At 42.6% G+C, this 24,605-nt stretch overlaps 1 long non-coding RNA gene across 1 annotated transcript in view; it reads right to left on the bottom strand.

The window, feature by feature from the left end:
- Positions 1-14,516: 14,516 nt before the first annotated feature.
- The window catches only part of LINC02698 (long intergenic non-protein coding RNA 2698), a 242,222-nt gene continuing 232,133 nt past the window's right edge, over positions 14,517-24,605 (bottom strand). The window contains exons 3-5 of the long non-coding RNA XR_001748394.3: positions 15,244-15,355; positions 15,116-15,162; positions 14,517-14,606 (exon numbers count right to left, since the gene is read on the bottom strand). This is a non-coding gene — a long non-coding RNA (long intergenic non-protein coding RNA 2698). The remainder of the gene's footprint in view (positions 14,607-15,115; positions 15,163-15,243; positions 15,356-24,605) is intronic.

Raw genomic sequence — 24,605 nt, 5'->3', positions numbered from 1 at the left:
TGAAGTAAGTCTGGGGATCTCCCTGAAATCTTATGAACTCCAACGTACTTATTTGACCCCACAAATCCTCTGCTTCTCACCTAACCTCACCCCTCCTGTGTTCTCCTACACACACACACCCCACATCCTTGTCTCTCTGCTGCCTCACAAATCTCTCCCAGGCTAATTTGTTCCATACCCTTCTATAGGCAAAGCCTAGTACATCATAATTGCCAGCCTGGTCTAGAATCCACTGAACTATTCTATGTGTCCTTCACTTTGGAGAATCCTGAAATAGCCACCATAAAATTCCCTTGGCAGTCCCTTCCTAAAGAGGAGGGCCATCCTACAGACACCATTAGGAAGATTGTAGAACTGAGCAGGGAGGTACCACTGTGAGACTAACATCAATGAAATGCGTCTGAACATTTCCAGAGCTGAGCAAACCATATGTCTTCATAATTTGATTGTGTCCTGGTCCCAGAGGCACCTCCAGCTCTATTGAACACCGATGGAGTTATTTAGGATCATAAATAATATTATCAGAGAGGGTCCACTGGGTAAACAGAGTCAGTGTGTAAATTGTCGGAGTGAGATATTGATTGTTCTTAACTGACTAATGAATTATTCTGTTTAAGAGCCCATAGAAATAGTGCATATCATTTCAAGGCAATAGGGCCTTTGAAGGATTTTCTTGACAAGCAGCTTCTATCTAGTAGTGTTGGCTGCCATAGCTGAGGAACAGCACTTCATCAGCCACTGTGCCACCACAGGAAAATAACAGGCAACCCCATGGTGCAGGGGCCCCAGAAGGAGTTATGAGGTCCAATGAGGGTGAGGAATGGAGACAACTGCCAGATCCAGCCAAATCCAGCCCCTTGCTGCTGCAGGTTTCAGATCAGGTCTCCACGAAGTTCACAGGCTTCAGATCTATTGCAGAAGTGCCCAAGATGAGGGTTCCAGAGTAGGGACTTATTGACATACGACTTTGTGTATTGTCTATGAGCTATTCATTCCATGCTCTGACCTTCCTCAGTGACCTGCCAGTGGCCGACTGAGCCCATGCTTTTAATGCAAGGCTATTGGTGAGAGTTTCAAAAGGTGGAGGTTGCTGCTAATTTCTGTACCTGCCCCTGCTTTTAAGAGTATAGTGACTCTCCTGCCTACAAGTCTACATCTTGGCCCCTTTCCTTACTCTATGACCCTTTAACCTTCCCAGTTTCTACCCAGCTCTTGGCCCCTTGTCAGTCTTTATTCTCTTTACTATAGAAGGTCTTTTCACATCTCCCCCTACTCCACTTAACTGTTGGACTACTTGTCTTTTTCTTAATGGCTTTTCTGAATTCTTTATATTTTATTGAATCTATTTGTACTAATCCTTTACTGAATCTATTTGTTACAAATATATTTCTTCCCATCTGTGCTTTGTCTCTTCTCTTTCTTCATGCCATTGTTTTGGTGAACATACATTCTCAATTTTAATGTATTTACATTTATCAACTTTTGAATTCATTATTAATACTTTTTGTGTTATGTTGAAGAAATCTTCCACCCCTCATAGTTACAAAGAGAGCCTCCTTTATTTACTTCTAAATGTTTAACAGCTTGGCCTTTTACATTTAAGTCTAGTTTTTCAAGAAATTATTTTTAGGATTTGTGCATTAGGATCCAATTTCAGTTATTCTGTATAAGTACAGGCAATTGTCCCAGCCCCGGTGTTAAGTTGTCCCTTATCTCCCCAGTGACCTGCAAGGCCACCAGTCATATAAGTTTCTGTGGATATGTCGCTAGCACTGTATTCTGATATATTGGTCAATTAGTCTATCCCTGTGCTAATACCACAATATCTTTTTTTTTTTTTTTAAATAGAGACAGGGTCTTGCTATGTTAGACAGGCTAGCCTCCAACTCCTGGCCTCAAGCTTTTCTCCCACCTCAGCCACCCAAGGTGCTGAGATTACAGCTGTGAGCCACTGCATTCAGCTATAGTACCACGGTATCTTAAACATCTACAGCAGTGGTCCCCAACATTTTTGGCATCAGGGACTGGATCAGCGGAAGACAATTTTTCCATGGACGTGCAGGGCAGGTGATGATTTCGGGATGAAACTGTTCCACCTTAGATCACCAGGCACTAGTTAGATTCTCCTAAGGAGCATGCAACCTGGATCCCTTGTATGTGCAGTTCGCAATAGGGTTCGCGCGCTTATGAGAATCCAGTGCCACCGCTGATCTGACAGGAGGCAGAGCTCAGGCAGTAATGCTTGCTGGCCACTCACCTCCTGCTGTGCAGCCCAGTTCCTAACAGGCCACAGACTGGTACTGATCCACAGCCCAAGGGTTGGGGACCCCTGGTCTTCAGGAAAATCTCCTCTTTCTGTTTACTGACTTCTCCCCAATGACTCTCTAGTCCAATCCAGTCCTCAAGACCTAACCCCTCTAGGAATTCTTCCATAATCCTCTATCAGCCAGTCCTCTCTCTCTTCCCCTTCTTTGATCTTTACCTCTATCATTTATTTACAATTTATTACATAGTGTCATGTGCATATATCTCTGTCTCACACACTAACTCCTGTGAACAGGGATTATTTCTTTTACTTCTTTTTTTCTCTGTTCAGCTCCAAACCCATCCCTAAAACCTCACATAGTACCAGACTTCCTATAGATTCAATGAATACCTGTTGAAAAGATTCAAAGGTCAATCTCAGCTTAGATCTTTACATCTCAGTGGACTTCCCCATCCTGGCAAAAAACAACAATTTGGGCACTTCTGGACACATTACACCTTAACCATAACTTATTTTTTTTCTGGCCTATCAGAGCAAACTCAGTGGAGTTAACGAGGCTGAATAAACATGGTAGAGGAGTGAAAACCACCTTCTTGTCTTTTCCATGGAAAACTAAGGCAATCAGGTGCATTGGGCCATATGCTACAGGAGCAAACATCCACAGGGTTGGAGGTAGTACCAGGTCCAGTTTGAAGCCCAGGGCAGCCTCTCCACTTCGTCAGCCCAGCAGACTGAAATCCTCTGCCAACCACCAGAGGGGATGCTTGGAGTCTTGTACTTGCTGCCCCCACACCAATTTACAAAACTGCCTTAGTCTTCCTAGTCAGGTCTGCATCATGAGCCAGCAAAGGAGGCTACCAGAAAAGGGACTTCCTGCAGCTAGGAATAGAACTGACACAGTGAAGTCTTGCAAAGCTCCTGAAGAGAGGAAACCTTCCTGGCACTAGCTGATGCTGGTGATGCTGCAATATAGATTCCAGCCAGGTGAGGGAAGTGGAGGTTTATACTGGTGTAAAATGTACAAGAAAAGGAAGGGGGAAGCAGAAGGAACAGAGAATGTACTTGGTGGTTGAGAAAGGACTTACCATACCTCTTCTTTCACTCAACAAATACTTGTAAAGATCCGCTATATATCAGGGACTCTGCTAAGTGCTGAAGACTCAGGAATGAAGCAGACCCTAGTTCCTGTTTCTTTTAGAAGCTCACATCTTGGGTACAGGCTAGCCTTCTCATTTCCCTTCATGTCCAGAATGCTGGAGCACAGCTAGATCTTCTGCTGTCAATTAGGAGAAGTGAAAACTGCCACCAACATTTCTACATAGTGCCCCCACCAGAGCGGCAGCCGGGCACGATGGCTGTGGAGTAAGTTGCTTAGCCCCAAGTCGTTTGCCTTTGTTTTCTGAGTTCAACCTTCAAGTTAATTCAGAGCAAAAGACAGTTACTTAAATCCAGATATTTTATCTTAATGTGGGTAATTCCCATAATATCATACATTAAGATGTCTGATTTCAGCTGCCACCCAACAGGTGGCAGGGATGTTGTTTCAGATCTGTTTTATCGCTGCATGTGCATATGTTTCTATTTCGTTAATGGCACGAGAGGCTGTCACCAAATTGGTCTCGCATTCAAAGTGTGGAAATAGAAGCAGTTAGATCCTGACCTTTATGTAAGTTAGGAGCTTTGTGCATTGAGTGCATGTGTGTGTACGTTTATGCCTGAAAGAAGGGAAGAGGCAGGAAAGAGGATATAATTGCCAACCCCCCACCAAGGACCCATGTAGTTCATCGGTACAAACGACAACTGGAAAACCAGATCTTAAGGAACCAATGGCCCGTTGCATCTCAAAAGCCCCAACGAGGCAAACCCGGTGGCTTTTTGCAGAGCCCAGTTTGTCAATAGTAAGAAGGTAAATTGCAAGGAGAGCACTTTTGTGCTCTCAGCCCTCCTCACCCCACCCAGTCATCTCAGCCAAATTAGCAACGCTTCACGGGGCTGTTTGTTTGGGACTGATTCTGCTGCCTCTGCTCTGTTGTTCACCAACATAGGCTGGGAAGCTGCCAAGAGATTAAGCGATCATGGTTAGCCTGTTACTTGAACTGCTTTCTTCTGGAATATTAAAAGTTTTACAGCCTCAAGCAGCGCACTTTGGCTCCTAGTAATTAATACCAATTTTGCCATAATATCTTATTTTTGTGGGCATTATCTTGTTTTTCATGAGCTGAAAAAAGATTGCTGCAGCTTATGAAATATGTTATAATGTCTCGCTTTGCACAATCATATTTGTGTCATTATCTGGCCCCTCAAGCAGCTAATTTAGCCCACATGATAAAGAGCAATATTTATTTTCCTACTGATTATTTGAGGGGCACTCTTTCTACCATGTTGCACATATGGGCAAATCAAGCCTTGATCACAAACACATCCTTCAAGTCTTAGCTCCCTGGCCATCTCTATTGACTTTGCCTGACACCTCCTAGCAAACCTGGACCCTCCATCTTCCTGACTTTTGTTTTTAACATATATTCTCATTATAGATCTCAATACATTGCTTTTTTGTATTTGTCTCCCCATAAGACCATGAGTTTTTGAGGACAGAAATTATATCTTCTCTTCTGTATAGATTTTGTCCCTATTTCAGAGCCTCACACATTGTATGTGCTCAGTAAATATTTATTGCCTGGGTGCAGTGACTCATGCCTCTAATCCCAGAACTTTGGGACACGGAGGCAGTGGATTGCTTGAGCTCCGGAGTTTAAGATCAGCCTGGTCAACAAAGTGAGACACCATCTCCACAAAAAATACAAAAACTAGCCAGATGTGGTGGTGCACACCTGTTGTCTCAGCTACTCGAGAGGCTGAGGTAGGAGGTCTCTTGAACCTGGGAGGCAGAGGTTGCAGTGAGCTGAGATTGTGCCACGGCATTCTGACCTGGGTGAAAGAGCCAGACCCTGTCTCAAATGAATGAATGAATGAATATGTATTAAATGATTGGTCATAATTTTGTTTAACATATTAAATAAGTTCATATAAGCAAAGAACTTAGCAGAGGACTTGACACAGAGCAAACATTCAATATAGGTTAGTTGTTATTATTATAGCAATTTATGTGAAGCCAAACTTTGTTTTTCTGCAATTTGCACATCTTGGTCCTTGTTCTTCCCTGTGGGTTGTAAGCCAGTGTTGGTAAGCCTAAAAATGCTGCTGTCAGCAGGAACTAGCTGAGCTACTGTTACTGGCTAGGGTAGGAGCACCAGGCCCTGGAGGGTAGGGGTTGTTGGAGGATGACTCATCATACTCCCCTGCACCGGGAAATGTACTCATGTTTGTACAGAATATGAATATTTCCAAGGAATTTCCATAAATGCTGTTTTATTTGATCATCCTAAAAAGCTGGTGGTATAGATGGTATGGTATCATTTTATCTCCATTTTATGGATAGTTTCTGGTGTTCTGCCCAAGACTGTATATACTATGAAGGATAGAAGTGAAACTTGAATCCAGGATTTTTGACTCCACTGCAAAAACCTCTAGGCCTATGACCCCCAATATCCTTTGAAATGGCCCTTCATAGTGGTGGCTTCAAAAGATAAATGGCATCATTAGACCTAGGTACTCCAGAGTAGCCCACGCAGAAAGACTGCCCTTGCTACCCCCTTCCAGACAACTGAGGCAGGGAGCTTATCTTCCAACTCTGTCTGCCCCTTCACTTTATGCTTTTGGTCCTGGCTGTGGCCCAAAGTCTCCCTGGTGCTGTCTTCTCTTGATACCTTAATACATTCATGGAGTTGACAAGCATAAAAGATGGAGTACCTCTCCTCCAGCTGTCAGCTGATTGGCCTGCTGGGAGCCAGTGGGTCATACTACACTAGTGAATCAGGAGAAATGTTGTCTGGTGCTGGCATCACAGAGGGTCTTGGGGCATAGGGACTGCATTATTTTATAACCTCACCTTTGGGCAGAGAGAGCCTCTCCCTGTGCAAAGAAAGGATAGTTGGTCCTCCCACAGAATCATAGTATCCAATGTGGGAGGCTTCATGGTGTGGAGGAAAAAGCATATTCTAGTTCTACCACTGATTAATCATGTTGGCTTGAGCAAACGACATTCCCACTTAGAGACTGAGTGCCCTCTTCAATAAAATGAGTGGAGAAAGTTAAAAAAAAAAAACAGGTATTGTAAAAGACCCAATGAGACAACGTATAAGAAAAACATTTCAGAAACTAAAGTCTATATAATGGAAGGGATTATTCTGCTTGAAGCTGATTTCTATGACTTTCAAGTTATATCTGTCATCCTCTTCAAATTTAATGTGGCTGTGACTTTTACACACTCCCTCCATGTTTTAGCAGCAGATCCACGGTGACTCCGTGGAGGTATGGTACATAAGAGGGTGACTTGTTCTGTAGGAGGGCTACTGGCTGGGGCCAAGGTCATTCTGAATTCGGGCTGCAGGCAATACACTCCATGGAAGGCATGGAAGGCATGGATAGTACACTATCCGACCCAGTGATGTGGAGGCTGCTCAGAACCCAGGGCAATCTAGTGATCCTCTAGCTCTCAAATACCAATTCACTCAAAATACACATTCTTCATAAATCCCTTGCCATTAAAAGAGTTTAATTTTTTAATCTCAATAACATCAGGTTGCATGTATCATAGATATCTGAAATTAGCACTTCAATCACAGTATCACAGAATCTCAGAATTAAGGAAACTTGAGAGGTTATCTTTCCAATTCAACCCTAATCCAATTGTTCTATTTGGTTACGTTTCTCTCCATGATACAAACATGATTATAACTTTTCTAGTGGTGGAAAATATTTCTTGTCCATCTTCGTGCCTCCCATAATGTGACTTTGTGTCTTCCATCACAGTCACTTGAACATACTCAATGCTAAATAGCTTCTTTTTGAATGAATGAATAAATAAGTAAATAAATGGAGAATAAATGAATAAACGAATGAACTTTTGTTGCATAGCTAATATGATTTCAGTTCAACTAGTACAGAAGGTCCCTTACTTGTTAACAGGGACTTGAAACCAATGTATTCAGTCAACAAGTTTGCCTACTGGATCATTCACTGAAGAAATGTTTATTGGGCACCTACCATATGCCAAACACTGTTCTAGGAACTGAGAGTTTATCAGTGAATACAAAAGACAAGATCTGCTCTTATGGGGCTAACTTTCTAAAAGAGGGAAAACAAATGGGCCAATCTGATTGATGGGCTTTTAACAGAATAAGATGACTGACTATTTCACTACTGATTTAGCTATTCTAGCAACACTTAAGTACAACTTTTAAAAAATGAATTTGTTGACATCTACTATTTCCAGATGCTCTTCTAGGCATTTTGGGGAGAACAAGATAGATTATATACACAAAGACATCAAAATTTACCTGATGGGACTGAGTAGCACAGTTGTCACAAACTTTAGTACATTTGTTTTAAAACACTACTTACAGATTTTTTTTTTACCACACCTATGACCTGGGTTATTAAATTTTTATGTTACACAAGGACTTTATGAAGATAGTACATCTATGTGTGAGCTTCCCAGATTTGTATTTATCTGTCATTTATTTTAGGGAATGGTGATACTGACAATAACTGTTATCTGTGTGTGCGGCCGTAGATGAAAAAGACCATCCTGGGACCAACTGTCCTTTCCACATTGTGCACATAAGAAGATTACTCTTTGGTTTAGGAAAGAACGCTCTGTTTGCAAAATCAATGATTGTTTACTGCTTAACTTGGACTGTCAGCTCAGAGAACTCTTTGCTCCAGAACAGCCCCAGATGGTGCTTCCCACTTTCCCAAGTCCCTTCCTTAGCACTGACTCTTCCATGGCCATGTGTCTGGTGGTTTATCTGCTGCAGAGGCTGCTCAGCCTCCACTGGTTTTGTTTCAGGACTGGCATTGGGGCTGAGGGTATTATTTGAGCTGCCCGCTGACCTGTACACTTGGCTGTATGTCTTCTAAAACCATTCTTTTCCCACCTAGATACTCACTTAAAAAAGGTTTTGCTGTTTCTTTCCATAACCAGTGCTTATTTTTATAAAGAAACCTCTACAAATCAAGTGGATTTGTGTTTTACAAAGTCCAGGAATGGATTTTTTTTGTGGTTCATCTGACATTTTTAGAATCATATAGGTACATGTTTGCAGAATTAATACAACTTGAGTAATATGCATAATCATAGGGAATATACAACAATATGTAATAATCGTCTCTTACATAAGGAAACATTTGTTTTATCTATTAGTTGTTTGCCAATCTTATCTCTCTCACTGAAATGTAAGATGGTAGGAAAGGAGACATGGCTTAGATGCATCCTTTTATTCCTAGCAGGTAGCACAATATTCTGCATATAGTGAGTACTCATTGCATATTTATTGAACAATGGATACATTTTAAAAATATAAAGAATGAAAAATGTTACTTAAAAAACTGACACCCAGAGAGGTGTCTAAAACTCTAGCCTAAATCCCATGTGCTTATAAACAAAAATTATAATTTTGACCAAAAACCAAGCATATTAATTTACTGCTTTAACCTTTACAACTATGCTATGAAATAGACAAGGCTGGCTTTTCTACCCTTCACGATAGGTAAAAAACGGAGGCTACAAGAGTGAGTTTATTTGTCCAAAGCCACACAGCCAGCTGGAGGCAGAGGCAGGGGGCAGGAGGAGGCAGCAGGTTCCTACTTAGTGGGCCATGTCCTACAAAACGAACATGCTCACTGGATACTTGACGGATGATGAGCAGAGTATTTTATGGGCACCTATTATGTACTCAGCAACTTATAGGAAGCTTTGGGAGCGCTACAATTATAAGACACAGTTCCTGCTTTCACGGACCTTATCACCTGGCTGGAAGGTCCTGGAACCCACAGCAAATGTTTAAATAGCCATGTAAGGCAGAGAATGAGAAGGGCAAAAACAAACATGAGAGACCCTGAGCAGTGTGGAGCTCAGAAAGAGAGTAGACCGGCACTGGTGGCAGTAAATGAGGGATGGTTCTAGTTGCATCTCAAAGGAGTCGGGAGCATTGATTCCAACACTGACCGTGGTTCAGTCTGCAGGACTGCTGAGACTTACCTGATGCCTGGGAAAGAAGGGATCTTTGGCCTTGCAGCTCTTCACTCCCTTCTCATCCCTGTTCCACAGAAAGACAGGCAGAGAAGCCACCTGAGCAGCAGGAGAAGTCATCCTCTCCCGAGTGACCCCCGTTTTAGGCACGAAGGCTGCCTCCTGGGGCAGCAGTGGAGGGCCCCTCTATTAATGGGGCCCCATGCACTCAGGGTGTTACTCCCTGATGAGCATGAGGAGCAGAGACTGAAGGGGCAGACTCCTTCATCCCCAGAAAGTTGCCCAGACCCTTTAATTAGCGTCCCCAGCTTGTTACATCTGCCACTGTTTTCCCCCAAGGGATACAGCCAGGCCTCACTTGCGCTGAATGTTATCTTTCAAGAGCTCAGAGCAGAGTGCTTTTTCAGTAACCCCATCAAAGGATAAGCTAGGATTCAGATAAGCTTTTCAAGGAGGAAGTCGGGGTTATAATTTTCAGAGACTTCTGAATGTCACCTCCAATTTTCAACTCTTCAGTTCAAATGCCAGTTTGGGGGAGCTGGGCAGCCTCAGATATTGAAATGGCAACCTCTGACCTCGGTCCTTCCACATTCCTGGTCATCTTAGAGCCCGGCAGATCCAAGAGTTGAAAGTGCTGGAGATGTCTGACTTTATAATAATTCTGCTTCTCAGAAGTGCAAATTACGCAGGAATTGGTGCTAAACTCTCCATTAACTACGGAGTCCAAGGAACCTTTAGTTTCCCAAATTACCTGTCAGTTTCTCCTTGACGCCATATAATTCTGTCGTTTAGAGGGAAAAATGGTTGTAATTTGAAATTTCAGTGAAATTTCTAATTGAATCTGCATTTAACTTTGAAGACTTAATGTTCCTCCATTTCAGCAATGGGTTGAGTCGCATTTGAAATTTCAGTTTCATCTTCCCCTAAAATCCACAGCTCCTTTCTCCTATCTCAGGCAGGAACACACATTATGGCAGCACTGGCTGCTCATGTTTCATCATACAATCTTCATCCTGAAACAAGACCTTCAGAGGTCATCTAATCTATCCCCCACCTCAGTACTGGGAGGGAAGATGTAAGAGCTAAGCTCAAATAAGGTTTAAAAAATAATTGCTTCCCCTTTAAAAAAATCTCATAAATGATGATATACCACAATGATTCTTAGTAATGAATTCTGGTAACTCCTAGTCATCATACTGATCAAGTCATAGAAATATTTAGGTTTTGTGGTTTTTAAACATTCTCCCTGAGGAAACTTTGGAGCAGACATGATGACTGGGGGAGTGGGGGGCAGTTCTTGATTTATTTTCTACCCTCATGTAAACCAGAAAAGCTCACTTAATATAATTAATTAATTAGAAGTGGAGCTTTTCTGGTTGAAATGGTTTGATTTCTGCTTATATATTCACTTAAAGGAAGAATTCCTTAGCATTGGGAGAAAAAATGGATTGAAATCTGTTGAACGAATATCACATTACATCTGAAGCAACTGAGACCAGATAACACCATGTTGAACTCAATGCCACTGGCTCATTTATTCCACACATATTTATTGCAAGCTTTTTATGTGTCAGGCTTGTTCTAAGCACTAGAGTATAGTAGTGAACAAAACAAAGCCCTTGCCCTTATGGAGTTTATATTCTAGTGGAAAGAGAGAGACAATAAGCCAGAAATCAGTGAATATTGTGCCCAGGTAGTGCTAAAGGCTATGGAGAAAAATAAAATGGAATAAAAAGACAGAAAAAAACACTCGAGGTGGGAGAGGTGTGCTATTTTATATAGGATGGTTAGAGAAGGCCTTATGAAAAGGTAACAAAACCTTGCTATGCATATAACCAGGAAAGGAGCATTTTAGCAGGAAAAAATGTAAAATAGAAAGGGCACAGCCAAAGCTGTGGCCGAAGTGCAGTGAACAAGCGGGAGGACTGAGAGAGGAGGTCAGAGGGGTCAGAGGGATCAGAAGGGCCTGATCATCTAGGACGCTTTAGGCTGGCATAGGTCGTTCTGAGTGAGCCGTCGGAGAGCTTTAAGCGGAAGAGTGGCATGATCTGACTTAGTTTTTCTAAAGGATGGCTTTGGCTGCTAAGGGGGCTATGGTTGGACAACAATGGAAATCAGGAGACAGGTTCACCTCTTCGGAGGCTGTGGCTATAATCCAGGCAAGAGAAGATGTCAGGGTGAAGAAGGGTGGTGGCAGTTGGGGTGATGAAAACATGATGAAGTCCTGGATATTTTCTGAAGGTTGAGCTGAAAAAATTTGCTAATAATTTGCATTTGGAGTGGGAAAAAAAAAAGTAGAGTGAAAATGACACCAAGGTTTTATGGACTGAGCAAATGGAAGAATGAAAGTGTCATTTTCTGAGATGAGGCAGCTTAGGGAGAAGCTGATTGGGAGGGAAAATAAAAGTTTTGCTTTGGTTATGTGCAAGTTCCAATGATACCTGTTAGACATCTATTAGTCCTCAAACAAGAACAAACAATTTCTCCAGCACCAAGAAAGGATTTTTCTGCTATCCCCTTTCACCTTTCAGGAGCAATACAAAAAGTAAAATAGAGCCAATTCAAAGTTTTAACATGTCACCTTCTCTGCAGTTGGTAGCTCAACCATTGGTTCACTGGCCTACTAATTTCCTTTCATTGAATAATATATGCAAAGGGATACAAGCTCATTTTAACAATAGCCTATGCAAAACAGTAGTCTGCTGAAACTTGACCATCACAAATGTCTGCCTAAATCATGGAGAAAGCTTGCTATCAAAGTTGCAGATGGCACCCAGCTGGGAGGGATAGTTAATAACGCTGTATGACAAAATCTAGATTCAGAAGGCAGGCTAGAAGGAGGGGATAGAATACACAAGATGAATTTTATCAGAGATACATTTTGGGTCCCACCCTTAGTTCCAAAATGAACTGTGCAAATATAGAATGGGAGAAGTCTTAGTTTTCTAGAAATTCGTGTAAAACAAAGCCATAGGGGATTAGTTGACTGTAAGCTCATTATGGAATAGCATGGTACATGACTTTCAACAAGACTAATGTAACATAATAGAAATGTAGTGTCCTGAATAAGAGAGTTAATCATCTCAACCTATTGTGCACTGAACTGTCCACACATATCAGGATAATTATGCTCATTTCCAGTGCTGTATTTGAAATCGCAGTGAGCATCAACGGGAAGGTGCTTGAAACTCTCATGGCTTTCAGGATGTATCTTTAGCTATTGCTTTGGGGAGATAAGCAACGAGAGAACTGACTGAATATCTCTCATGCGGGGTCATCATCTCCTGGTGGTTATTCCTCACTTTTGATTATTCCAAATTGAGGTTGTGGGCTAATGCTTATCATAAGACCAAAGAATGACTCATTTTGATCCATTCTGAATACCATCTAGCCCACTTTTCTTATGCAAAAGACACTAATCCCATTGGCATTTAAATAGTTCTTTTGTAAAATGTTCAGGTGATCAGCCCCAAAACCATAAAATAGAAAGGGAAGGAGTAGAGAGAAAAAGGGAAATAGAGCATAGGTTCATCTAAGCTTACCTGTTTGCCAGCACCACACAGAAGGATGTAGCACCACACAGAAGGATGTGGCCCCACACATCCCATGTGGGTGCTCTCAGTTTCCTGCTTTCACCTCTTCACTCATCTGCTTTCTCACAGTCCTTGTCATTTAACTCCTCCCTGACCTGTTGTTTCTGTCCCCACATGCCTATCCTAGAAAAAAGAGTCAGTCCCCACTTTATTCTTGGCTCTTAAATCTGCTGCCTCAGAAATTCTTCTCTGCTCAGTTCCTGCTGTCTCCACAATGTGGGGAGAAAGATAAATTCTATGCAGCAAATTTGGTGGAAGAAGGCTGGGAAGAGGTCTTGAAAATGAAATAGAAAGTACCACAGTGGCAATTTCCTTCCAAAGACTACCTGTGTCGCTCGCAAATGCCTGTTACTCTTACTATTATAAAATTGGCCCTTTTCATGACAGGGATAGCTAGCTTCTATATTGGAGACTTGATGATGGCAACTAGCCGCCCAATTAGGGACTATAATTTCTTGGTCTCTCTTGAAGCCAGGAAGGGCCATAGGACTAGAATTCTTGTCAATGGAGTGTGAGCAGGAGTGGTGTACATCACCTTCAAATAATGGAGCTTAAGAAATAGGTGTATCTTCCACAGTCTCTTCCCATCTACTAGCTAAACGCAGAAGATTTTGCAGCCATAGGTGAGAATAAAGAGGCAATATTGAAGGGTTCTGAAGCCTAATTACCATCTGGAGGGCTTCTAGCATAAAACCATTAGGTAAATGAGAAAACACATATCTGTTGTGCTAAAGCCAGACTGAGGGGCTTATTTGTTTCAGCAGCTAGTGTTATCCTATTACATGATTTCTTTGGAAGAAATAACTCTGGAACCATATGCAAATTGTTTGCTTCTCTAATCTCTAGGTGAGGGGTAAAAGTGAAGGAGGACACTTTGCTCATACTGGGTCATATATCTAATGAGGAACCATTGAAGAAAGCTGGAATTAAGAACCCTGCTGTGTATATGTGTGTGTGTTTGGGGAGACGGTGATGGTCATTGACATAGGGGGCAGCACTACTCAATAGGTAAGAAGCTACAGGAAATCCAACTCACTTCAATGCATGGAAAACCTTTCTAAGTCTGCACCCTATGTATGCTCCGTGCATTGTCTAGTTGCCTGCTATGTCCCAGGAAAAAACTTGGTGATTGGCAAGCAAATTGGTACTACATAATGTTTCTTTCTTTTTAAAAATTAATAACAGATACGTTTATTATTACATATCCATCAGTGTGGCTTTTAATACTACTTGAAACATGTATATCATCCTAGAGACATAATATCTCTTAAATTTTAAAAATAATTTTTGAAAGTCCTTTTTGTGTCTGCCAACAATGAAACCTTGCTGCGAGGGAGTGATTTTTCCATTAGTGAAAGTTCCATGCAGAGTCTCAGTGAGCCCCTGGTGGAAGGTTGGGCTAGATAACATCCCAGCAGATCTCTTCCCATTTTTATTGTCCTACATCTCAAAGGCTTTCACAAACTTTTCCCATCCATTTTCTCTTTTCATCCTTATAACAAATCTGTGAAATTATCCTACTTTTAGAGGTTGAAAAATGGAGAGATTTGATAAAATGAGGCATCCAAGGTCACCTTGCTATTTAGTGATGACACTGGAACTGTAACTTTAATCACTTGATTCCTGGAACAGAGTTCTCTGGTGATTCTCAATTCTGGAAACAGAAAAGGATGATGGGAGGTTGCCAGAGAGAAATAGTAGTCTTTATTGAATGCTTGCAATGCTAAGTACTTTATATACATCTTCTCAATAATCACAGCAACTCTGTGAAGTAGGCACTATGATTAATCCATTTTATAGCAAGAATCAGATACTTAAAAGGGTAAGTTTACACAGCTCAAAGGTTGTAGATCTTGGGTTGGAGCCCATTTGTCTCACCCAAACCTTATACTCTTCTGCTCTATAGCTACTAGCTTCCTGCCAGGTGCAGAAGAAAGCAATGGGGGTCAGGGTAGTTCATGAAAGACTTCACTGGGGAGATGGGACTCAAGCTGGCTGCTGGAATTATAGGATCCACTGGTGTGTCCTATCAGGAAACTGGCCACAACATATTTCTGAGGAGCAAGAGTTCACATATATTTTCTTGTGCCTTTGCCATTGCTGATAATCTCCAAGGAATCTAGAAAGGGAGCAAGGTTGGGGGAGAATGGAAAATTTATCTACCTGTATCTTTCTGGGATTCATAGGTCATCCTCATGGGCATAAGAACTCTGTAAGGGAAAATAAATCATTGTTGGGCTGAGAACTTGATGCTTACACACACACACACAAACACACACACACATACTCACCAGAGACAGCCAGGGCTGTCTTTGATGGTTTGGGGAAGAATCATCTGAACTTTGAGGACTGCAGAGTAGACCCTTAAAGTGGCAGAATTAGACGAGCTCCCAGACATCAGGCCTTAGAAAAAATTCCAAACAGTTACAATTTCCACTGCTCCATCCCTATGGTCATGGTTACCACCGTCCCTAAGCCCTGCTATTCTTTCTCCCATATAATTTGTATTTTCTCTTTCTGCAGCCATGTCCACTTTTCCCCAATGATTTAACCTCACATCAGATCCTTCAGTGGGAGCTTTAATCTTGAACATTTTATTAATAAAGAAAAACAATTGTATTGAGTAGAGAGGACCTGTCTTCAGTGGAAACCCCTGTTTCTGCCCCCTCTTTCCCTAGACCAGCCCGCTGCTGCTCTAACTTATTTTCCTCTTGGTCAGATTCAGGGCTCTTCTTTCAAACATTGTGTCCCATCCATTCTGGTTAAACGACACTAACTACATTGTAAGTAATAGCTCGCCCGCAGCAATGTCGCTAACGGGTCTGTCTGTGCCTGGGTTATGAATGGGCTCGTCCTCAGCTGCAGTCACATGGCTCTGGGCTGGGAGCTCATCCATCTTGCAAGGTCAGACCTCATTGGTTTTTGGACGATGGGGAAATCTCCTAGGAAAACCTAGGATGCGGCCGAATGGGCTGCTCCATAGATAATCTCTCTCCTGGAAGGTGGTGCCTTTTCCTTCTCTCAGCCCAGAGTCACCAGTGCATTCAAAAGGCCAAGTCTTTAGATACCTGGATCGAACACTCAGGATAAACCCCAATTGCTACCTGCTGCCCTTAGATAGTATATGCAAGGGAAATACTTAAAGCGTATCTTTACCCAGGAACATCTGTGAAAACAGCCTTATTCTTCATAGTCATCTATCCTAGCAAAGCATCAGACACAGAGTCGACAGTCAGGAAGTATTTGTTGACTATTAACACTAACAATAGTTTTATTTTATTGCATGCCAGAGACTATGCTAAGTACTTCACACATATTAGATAATTTTATTTTACTTAATGCTCCTAGTAAGCCTATGCATTAGGTATTGTTATTTTACTATTAGAGTTCAGGAAACTAAGGCCCCTGCAGTTTCCTCATCCTGAAGTCACACCACTTCTGAGAGGTGGAGCCAGCATTACAGACTGCCTGACTCCAAAACCCAGTCGTCTTAGGCACCCTATTATACTATTTCCTTAAAGGAAAAAAAAATTGTTCTTACCATCAGCCATGTTTTAAAGTCACTGGCATTTTCACATCTGCTCTTAAAAGTCTGATCCAAATGCTCCATACATAAATACCTGTGATTGTGTGTGTGCCTGCGTGCAAATACATACACACCCAAGTTCATACTAAGGGAGAGGGAAATGATTCTGAAATGGGTTGGGGGACAAAACACCCATGTTCCCTCCTCAGCTCTGCTTTATGAAACCCTGCCCAGCCACATACCATGTGGCACATGGTGACACATGACCCCCTAAACCCCCAGTCCCTGGTCCTCAGCCCTACTACTCCCCACTTCATTCTCAGTCATTCGGTGTAGGATCCTTTAGATTGCCTTGTTTCAAACTGAACTTTCACCTTGTAGATTTAACAATGGAACTGGACTTCCCCCATTTTTTGACCCTTGTCATTCTCCAAGGACTCCTTCATTGAGGTTTTTTCCTCCTGGCAGGTTAAGGCACAGACCTTGCACAGCTTCATACTGGCACATAGGATCCCTGTATTCTTTCATTCATGAATCATTTGTCTAGCAGATATTAATTGGGCAACTACTATGTGTCTCTGCTCAACCCTAGAACACACTGGTGAACATAACCAATATAGAACTAGCACTCAAATTGCTCACTATCTACTATGGGGTATGGGGAGCTGATAAGTAAATAGGCAAAAATTACAGGGAGCGGGGGAAAAATAACTTACGTTAAAGCTTAGGCAGAACTTCTGAAATTGGAGAGCTCTCTTCTCTTTAGCAATATACCTTGATGGGCATATGATGAAAAGATAAGGCTCAGGGCCTGGCCTGCCAGGAGGAGAGTGAGTCAAGGTATTGCTTTTCATTGTAAAAAGGAAATGTTAATTCCCTTGAGTAGACTTACTAGGAAGAGTCAAGAGGCAGTAATGGATATAAATAGAGAACATCATGAGAATTGGGGAAAATGAAAGAACCCATTACCCAGAAGAGGCAAAAGTTAGAGAAGTTGATGGTGATGGGAATATCCAAAGGACTTTTAAGACCAAGCTAGTATTTGTTTTAAGTTCTTTGCTGTGTGCTACCCCTCTGCCTTTCCTTATATCACTTAAGTAAAATATGTCATACAAAATAGCTGTCGTTAGTGGTTTTGTGGAAATTGTTGAATAGGGCAACATAGAGAAATTTCAGCCTCTTTACACCCCTTTTCGATTGAGAACAGAGTGACAGGAGAATATGACACTGAGGGAGGGAGCGACCCTGGAGTTCCAGGCAGTGGTCAATAACAAACGGAGCAGTAGTGTTGAGCAGAGCTGAGGGGAATAGAGAAGTAGCTGCAGATGTTCATGTCAGGACACCCCCCCAAACACACACACACACACACACACACACACACACACACACACACACACACACATCCATTTCTGCCCAGATAGACTTGACCTGAAGTGGTTCACTCCTGACTGCACAGAAGAATCATCTGTGTGCCTTAAGACCTGTGGACATCCAACCCCAGGATTTCATTGTCCAGTTAAGACCCAGCCATCAGTATTTTTTGAGCCAGAGAACATGACCTTGGAGGGATATTCGACCTCAATATAATGTGGTAAGTGTCAACGAGGCATAAATAAAGAGAACTAAAGAACAGAGATGAGGTAACGGTAGATGGGAGTGACAGCTAAACTGAAAGCCTGGGGATTGAGTAGAAGTTAGCCAAGCAATGGGAAAGGAGATATGGGACAATGTCCTCAGAAGAGGAAAAGCAGAAGTCAAAGCAAGAGTTCAAACTGTACAAGGAGCTCAGTAAGGTTAGAACTTGGTAGTTTTGGGGGAAGGGGTAGGGTGGGCGGGGATGTTTGTACCCATGGCAATATGTGAAACCAAAGAGATAAGAGAAGTCCAGATCATGTAGAGTCCTGTGTGCAATAAATGATGAACTGGATTCATCCCAACACCCTCGAGCTCTGGCAGGCAACATGACTTCCCTCCACCATTTCAGTCTCTGCATTAGTTAACAATTACTGCATAGCAAGCTATCCTAAAACTCAACAGCTTAAAGCAATGGACACGTATTATTGTTCACAAGCCTGTAAGCCTTTTGGGTGGTTCCACTGACTTGGGCCAGGCATAGCTGATCTTGACTGGGCTCAAGGGTATGATTGTTGTCTGCTGGTGGATTGGCTGGGGGCTGGCTGCTCTAAAATGCATCATTCCTGTACCTGATCATTAGCTACTGGCTGTGGCAACAGAGTGACTGGGCCATTCATCTCTTATCACCCAGTAGGCTAGCTCAGGCTTTCACATGGCAATGCCTTCTCCAAGACACAGAAGTACACAGGAGCTCTTGGATTCTTGGTTTCTTGGTTCTTAGCTGACACACTATCACTTCTGCTGCATTTTATTAGCCAAAGCAAGTTAAAAACACATCATTCCAGATTTAAGGGATAGAAAAGCAAACTCTTCCTCATGCTAGGAGGGTCAGCAAAGTCACAGTGCAAGGTATATGGATACAGGAAGGCAAAAAATAATTGCAGCACATATTTGCAGTTGATCTGCCGTACCTCCATAACCCTCACTGTCTCCATAGATTTCCCATGGTTTGGAAGTGGGAGGGGGCTCAGGGACATGCTATTTTTCAGGTGAACACTAATTCAGGCCACAGCTCATACTGACCAACAAGCCACAGGCAAGAGCCAGGCTGCCAGTCCTAATTGCTCTGTCCAGTCTTCACTTGCCATCGATTTCCTATTTCCCATCCTCTGCGTCTCCAATGTTGTTTTCCTTAACACCACAAACTGTTGGTTGCTTTGTGCATCCCTCAGGCCTCTGCGGGCATTTTCTTTTACATCAGTGCACAAAGAAGCTGCAGCACTCCCCCAGGCAGCCAAGGTGTCAGGGCAAGGCCAGTGATCACAGGCCCTGCTGGTGACAGGAGGTAGGGATTTCCAAAGAAAAGCTGGGCCCTTGCTCACCATTCCTTCTGAAAGATAGAATGCTGCCTCCTAGACCTCCCAGGCCTCTTCCTGTGGATACAGGACGGTGTGATACAGCTTGTCAGAACCTGGCCAATGGGCCTCCCAGGCTTGCAGCGGCCACCACACTCTCAAGGCAGACATGGATGTCAAGTATGGCCAGACTCCCTTTAGACACCGTGTCCAGTCTGGACTCTGCATTTGAAGAATAATGGAAAGAAAAGAAAGGGATAATAGAAAAGAGAAATGGTGCCTTGCAGGATAGACCAAAGGGAAGATCCTCATTGGGAAGAGAGAGGAGAGGGAGATAGAAAGAGAGAGAGAGAGACAGAGAGAGAAAAGGCTGGGAGTGATTTTAGTCATTGGTTTCATGTTTTAGAGAACTAGTCTAGTACTGGTAGGAACATGACTTCCTGTCTATCTTTTCTGAGAGAAGAGTGTGAAATAAATACACGCTTTAAAATTCAGCATGAGGGAATCAGGTTAGATGGAGTGGAGAACCTTCTGTTTGTAAGAGATGTAGTAAACACAACATGAGGCAAGAGTTAGACACTGTCTCTGCCCTCAAGAAGTTTCCAATGTTGTTAGAGCTTCCAGAGTAATGCACATAAGCTAATAAAGACAATAGACTCACACAACGTCACTGTACACACAGTAGTGATCTGGCAGTGACTCTAATTGCAATGAAATTTTAAAGAAGGAAAAATATCTAGGTAAATCTTTGTAGAAGCAGTAGGACTTGAACTAAGCGGGAGTTACACAGACAGAAGCAAGAAAATTACAATCCAGGTAGAAGGAGCTGTGCAAACAAAGGCAGTAAGGTGACTAACTCATCCCAATTTGCTGGGGCATCTCCTCAGTCCTGGGGAAATTTGCATGATTAGTCATCCAAAAGAGAGCCATAAATCAATCAGCATCATTTGTGGGAACAAATTTTGACAAGATAGTAGGATCTAGTTCAAGGACTACCTTGAGAGTGGAGGTGGGGACAAGATGGCCTCTAAAGGCTTCTCCCAATCTGCTAATGCTATCACCTCTGTCTGCAGAAAGTTAAGGAAACTTCCTTAATTTTGATGATAAATGCCTCACTGAGCACACATTGGTCAGAAAAGTTTATATTTTGATTCTGTCAGGTGACTCAGAAGACAGTACTTTTCCTCAAGAGCTTGTGGGAAGACTGTCTTAATGCAACACAGTCATTTCACTTGCGAACACTTACCTTACTGCACCTTACACCTGGTAGGACCTCAATGAGTGCTTCCTGGATAGGTGAATTATGGATGGATGGATGGATGGATGGATGGATGGATGGATAAGTGAATGGGTGGATGGATGGATAAATGAGTGGTGGATGAATGGATGGATGGAAGAATGGATGGACAGATGGATGAATAGATGGATGAATATATGAACAGATGGATAGATGAACAGTTGTATGAATGGGAGGAAGGAAAGAAAGATGAAATGATAAATAGACAAGTGGAACAGTGGCCTGGTGAGTGAAATGATGGATAGATGAATGGATAAATTGAGCAATTATAGATGAATCATGGTGGTTAAAGTAATAAAGCTATAAAGGGGAAATCATATAAGTAGAAAAAAATTACAAATAAAACAGAGTTGCATTTTCAATAATTTTGTGAGTCTGACATTCTAACATTGTCTTCCTACAGACAGATTATATAATCGCTCCACATGTCCCCACTATACACTCCATGGTTACCAACACTTCCTTACCCAAAACTCCTCTACTCTCTTCCCTCCTCTTTCTCTTCCAATTTGTTTAGATTAAACTTTAGTTTTAATTCAATCAGACCCACTAATGCTATGTGACTGTAAGCACGTCACATCAGCCCCTAGAGCCTTAGTAACTGTCCGGATAAATGAGAGAGTTGATTCAGATAATGCCTGGAGAACCTAGTGCTTGGATCATCATCCTTATTTTTAAAACATGAAGAAATATGGCAGATAGCACAAGAATGATATTTTGAGAATATTCAAAATTTCCGGATTGGGAGCCAATAAAATAATCTGCTACTTTCTATATACATGATGAAATGTCTCCGTTTCTTCTCATGTGAGAGAGAGATAGGGGGTTAGAAAGAAGTATGGGGAGAGGCTTTCCTCACGGTGCTGGCTACAGGACCTCTGCTCCCAGCCTCCCTGAGCTGGAAAGAGGATGTGTTTCAGTCATTGCTTCCACTCTGGCTCCATGTGGCTGGTGTAAAGTTGTACATTTTGCAGCTGAAGGCAGTGGGCTCCCCAGGATAATAGCAGCTGTTCAAGTGCATATTAGCACTCGAGATGCTTGATAAGAGGAATTAGAGTACCGCCCGGTTTCTTTATTTTTTATTTTTTGCCTGGCTGAATCAATAATTAAGTGTATTCTAATAGTGCAGTTTTGCTCGAGATTCTCATTTGGCTCAGGCATTAGGTCTAAATGAAATATTTAGTTGACAGGATACAGTTATGAAGCAAAACCACATTTCTGTCTGTATACTTTAATTTTTCTAATGATGAGAAACCACAGTCTGTCTTCCAACCCTGGCTGCTGCAGCTTTCCTGTCATTCCCTCTTCTAGAGAGAAGATAACAATCTTTCTTCCTCCTGCAAGAAAAATGAGAATGTCACATCCTGGTGACCACCATCAGTTGGGGCCTGGAGCAATGAGAAAAATCCTACTTTCACCAATTTTACCCTAATGCAAACAGACTCATCAGAAAGGCATGCCAAGACCTTTGCCTTAGGCAGTGGGTAAAGAAAAGAAGCTGAGACTGTGTAAGACCAATACTGGGGGCACTGAGTGACAATATGGAATGAGCTAGCATCTCAGCCCATGCAGAGATGTGTAATGTATGCAATGTGTAATGCATACAGTGACATCACGCCGTGAGGTAGGGCATCAGTCAGGGGGTCAGGGCCACAGTGATGCTCCAAGTGAGAGAATGAGTAGTTCATGACCCAGGAGACCAGTCTGTTCAGCACATGGCCAGCCTGTGCCAGGGACTCAGAGACAGCTAAGCACAAAAGAAGGCATAGGAGATGAAGTCCCAGCTAGGCAGGCTACGGCTCAGGGTAAGCCTGCAATCTCATCTTTGCCACTGCCTTACTGTATGACATCGGGAAAGCCCCTCCACCCTGTCAGACCTCATTCCCTCAACTACTGATAAAGCGCCATGACCTCAGAGCTACCATCCAGCATTGGCTCCTTAGGATTCTGGTTCCAGCAGGCAGGAACACTGAAAGGTCACCTCAAGCATCTTTCTGCCTCAAGACAATCTTCCTTTCATTCACAGGCATCACCTGACCTACAACCCTTCCACTCTGCGTGTTCCTGTTGCACCTTAGGCAGCAATTCCATAGCCTTCTTTATTCCCTTTATTTCACATTCAAACAGGACCCACTCTAACATGTTTTCTCAAATCTAACCTAAGCCCACTTACAGATGCCTAGCTCTTTCTTGAGAGAATATGTGTCTCTATGCCTCTAGAGGTCCTGTCAATGCACAGCACCATGCCATTGCCCCTCCAACCCATCACTCACTGGAGGAGGAGAAGAGCTCCAGAGAACATCAGCTTTGAGCCAAGTGAGGCTTCCCCAAGTATTCCTGGGTTGCAAGGCAAGGTGGGGTCAACATGAGTGCCTGGCCGCCGAAAAATAGAGACTGGAGTCACCCATGTTAGGCACACAAGGGCTGCAGATCGCTAATTATTTGCACAGCTTGCTTTCCTGAGTGCCTCTATTTTAGATAAATATTTTGTATACATTTACTCTAGAAATTAGAAAAGGAGGGAGGGGTACAAAGGAAAAAAAGGCAAGTGATGTTGATCTTGAATCCAGGCTGGCTGGTTCGCTCTTGTAGTGTTTGAAAAGTCAATCCATTCATCTCCAGCAAAGTGGGCAATGCAGAAAAGTGATATTTGTCTAATATTTGCTCGGCTTATTGTGTCTCGCTGTGTATTCCCAGGTGCACTGGCTTTCGGAGAAAGTTAATCACTATGTCTTAAGACCTCCCCGGCAGTGCCATTTCTGAGCAAAAGGTGTAGAGATTTTTTAAATATCTATCTTCTTTTCTTTTCTTTCTTTTTGGTTGTGGCTGGGCACAGGTACTAAGAGATAGGGGTAGGGGCAGAAACACAGAAGAGGGCAGAATTCTGGCCATGGAAGTTCTCTCCTGAGCATCTCTGTGGGTCAGAGGCAAGGAGGTGCCCTATGGGGAGAGGGATCAGGAGGACAGCCCATGGAAGGAAAGGGCCTTAGGGTTGAATAGTTGCCATACTGGGAGTCATGGGAACAATCCTCTGTGATATTTAGCACTTGTGATTTCTTTTTAACCTACCATGTTGCATTTTGATCCCTGCAGCAACCCTGTAAGGTGAATAAGGCTGTTGGTATTATGCCCAGCTCACAGACAGACCAACTGAAACCCAAGAAGATGAAGTGCATTGCTGGGGGTGGCATAGTGATATCTCCAGACCACAAGATTCCCAACTAGTAAGAAAAACTAGAAATGAATCACTTCGAAGTAGCCAAATGCTTATCAAAACATACTATACAAAGAGGACAAAAAGAAAACGAACATGCCATTCTCTCTCACACTCTGCAAAGGGATTATCTCCCTGGTACTCCATAAGTGCCATCCCTACCCCACAAAACCTACTGTATGCCAGCATTTGCTTGTGATCTAAAGAGAGCATAGACCCCACTCCTCATGATTCCTCCCAGTGGAGGAGTGTTACTTAGCAGAACACACCTGGCCCCTCTCCATTCTCACCCACTCTTCCCCAGAGAGGATTAGCTGCTTATCCACTTGGTGATTTTAGGGGAGGAACTAGCTCTGTGGAGCTCAGCTCCTCTTACTTCCTTCCTATTTTCAATGAGTTTGCCAGCTCAAGAAAGCTGGGTGCAACGGTCCTATGGCCAGCACCAAGAGGTTAGTCTTCCCCCATACTTCTTTCTAACCTTCTATCTCTCTCTCACATGAGAAGAAAAGGAGCCATGTCCTCAGATGTATAAAAAATACAGGTTATTTCATTGGTTCCCAAACTGGAAATGTTAGATAGTCCCAAAATATCATTCTTGTGCTATATAACCATCTGATATTTCTTCACATTTTAAAAATAATGAGGACAATGATCCCAGCATAACAGGGTCTCCAAGCATTACCTGA

This window comes from Homo sapiens, chromosome 11 (assembly GCF_000001405.40).
Source record: "Homo sapiens chromosome 11, GRCh38.p14 Primary Assembly".
Lineage (NCBI taxonomy): Eukaryota > Metazoa > Chordata > Mammalia > Primates > Hominidae > Homo > Homo sapiens.
This window is presented reverse-complemented; position numbering and strand designations above follow the sequence as displayed.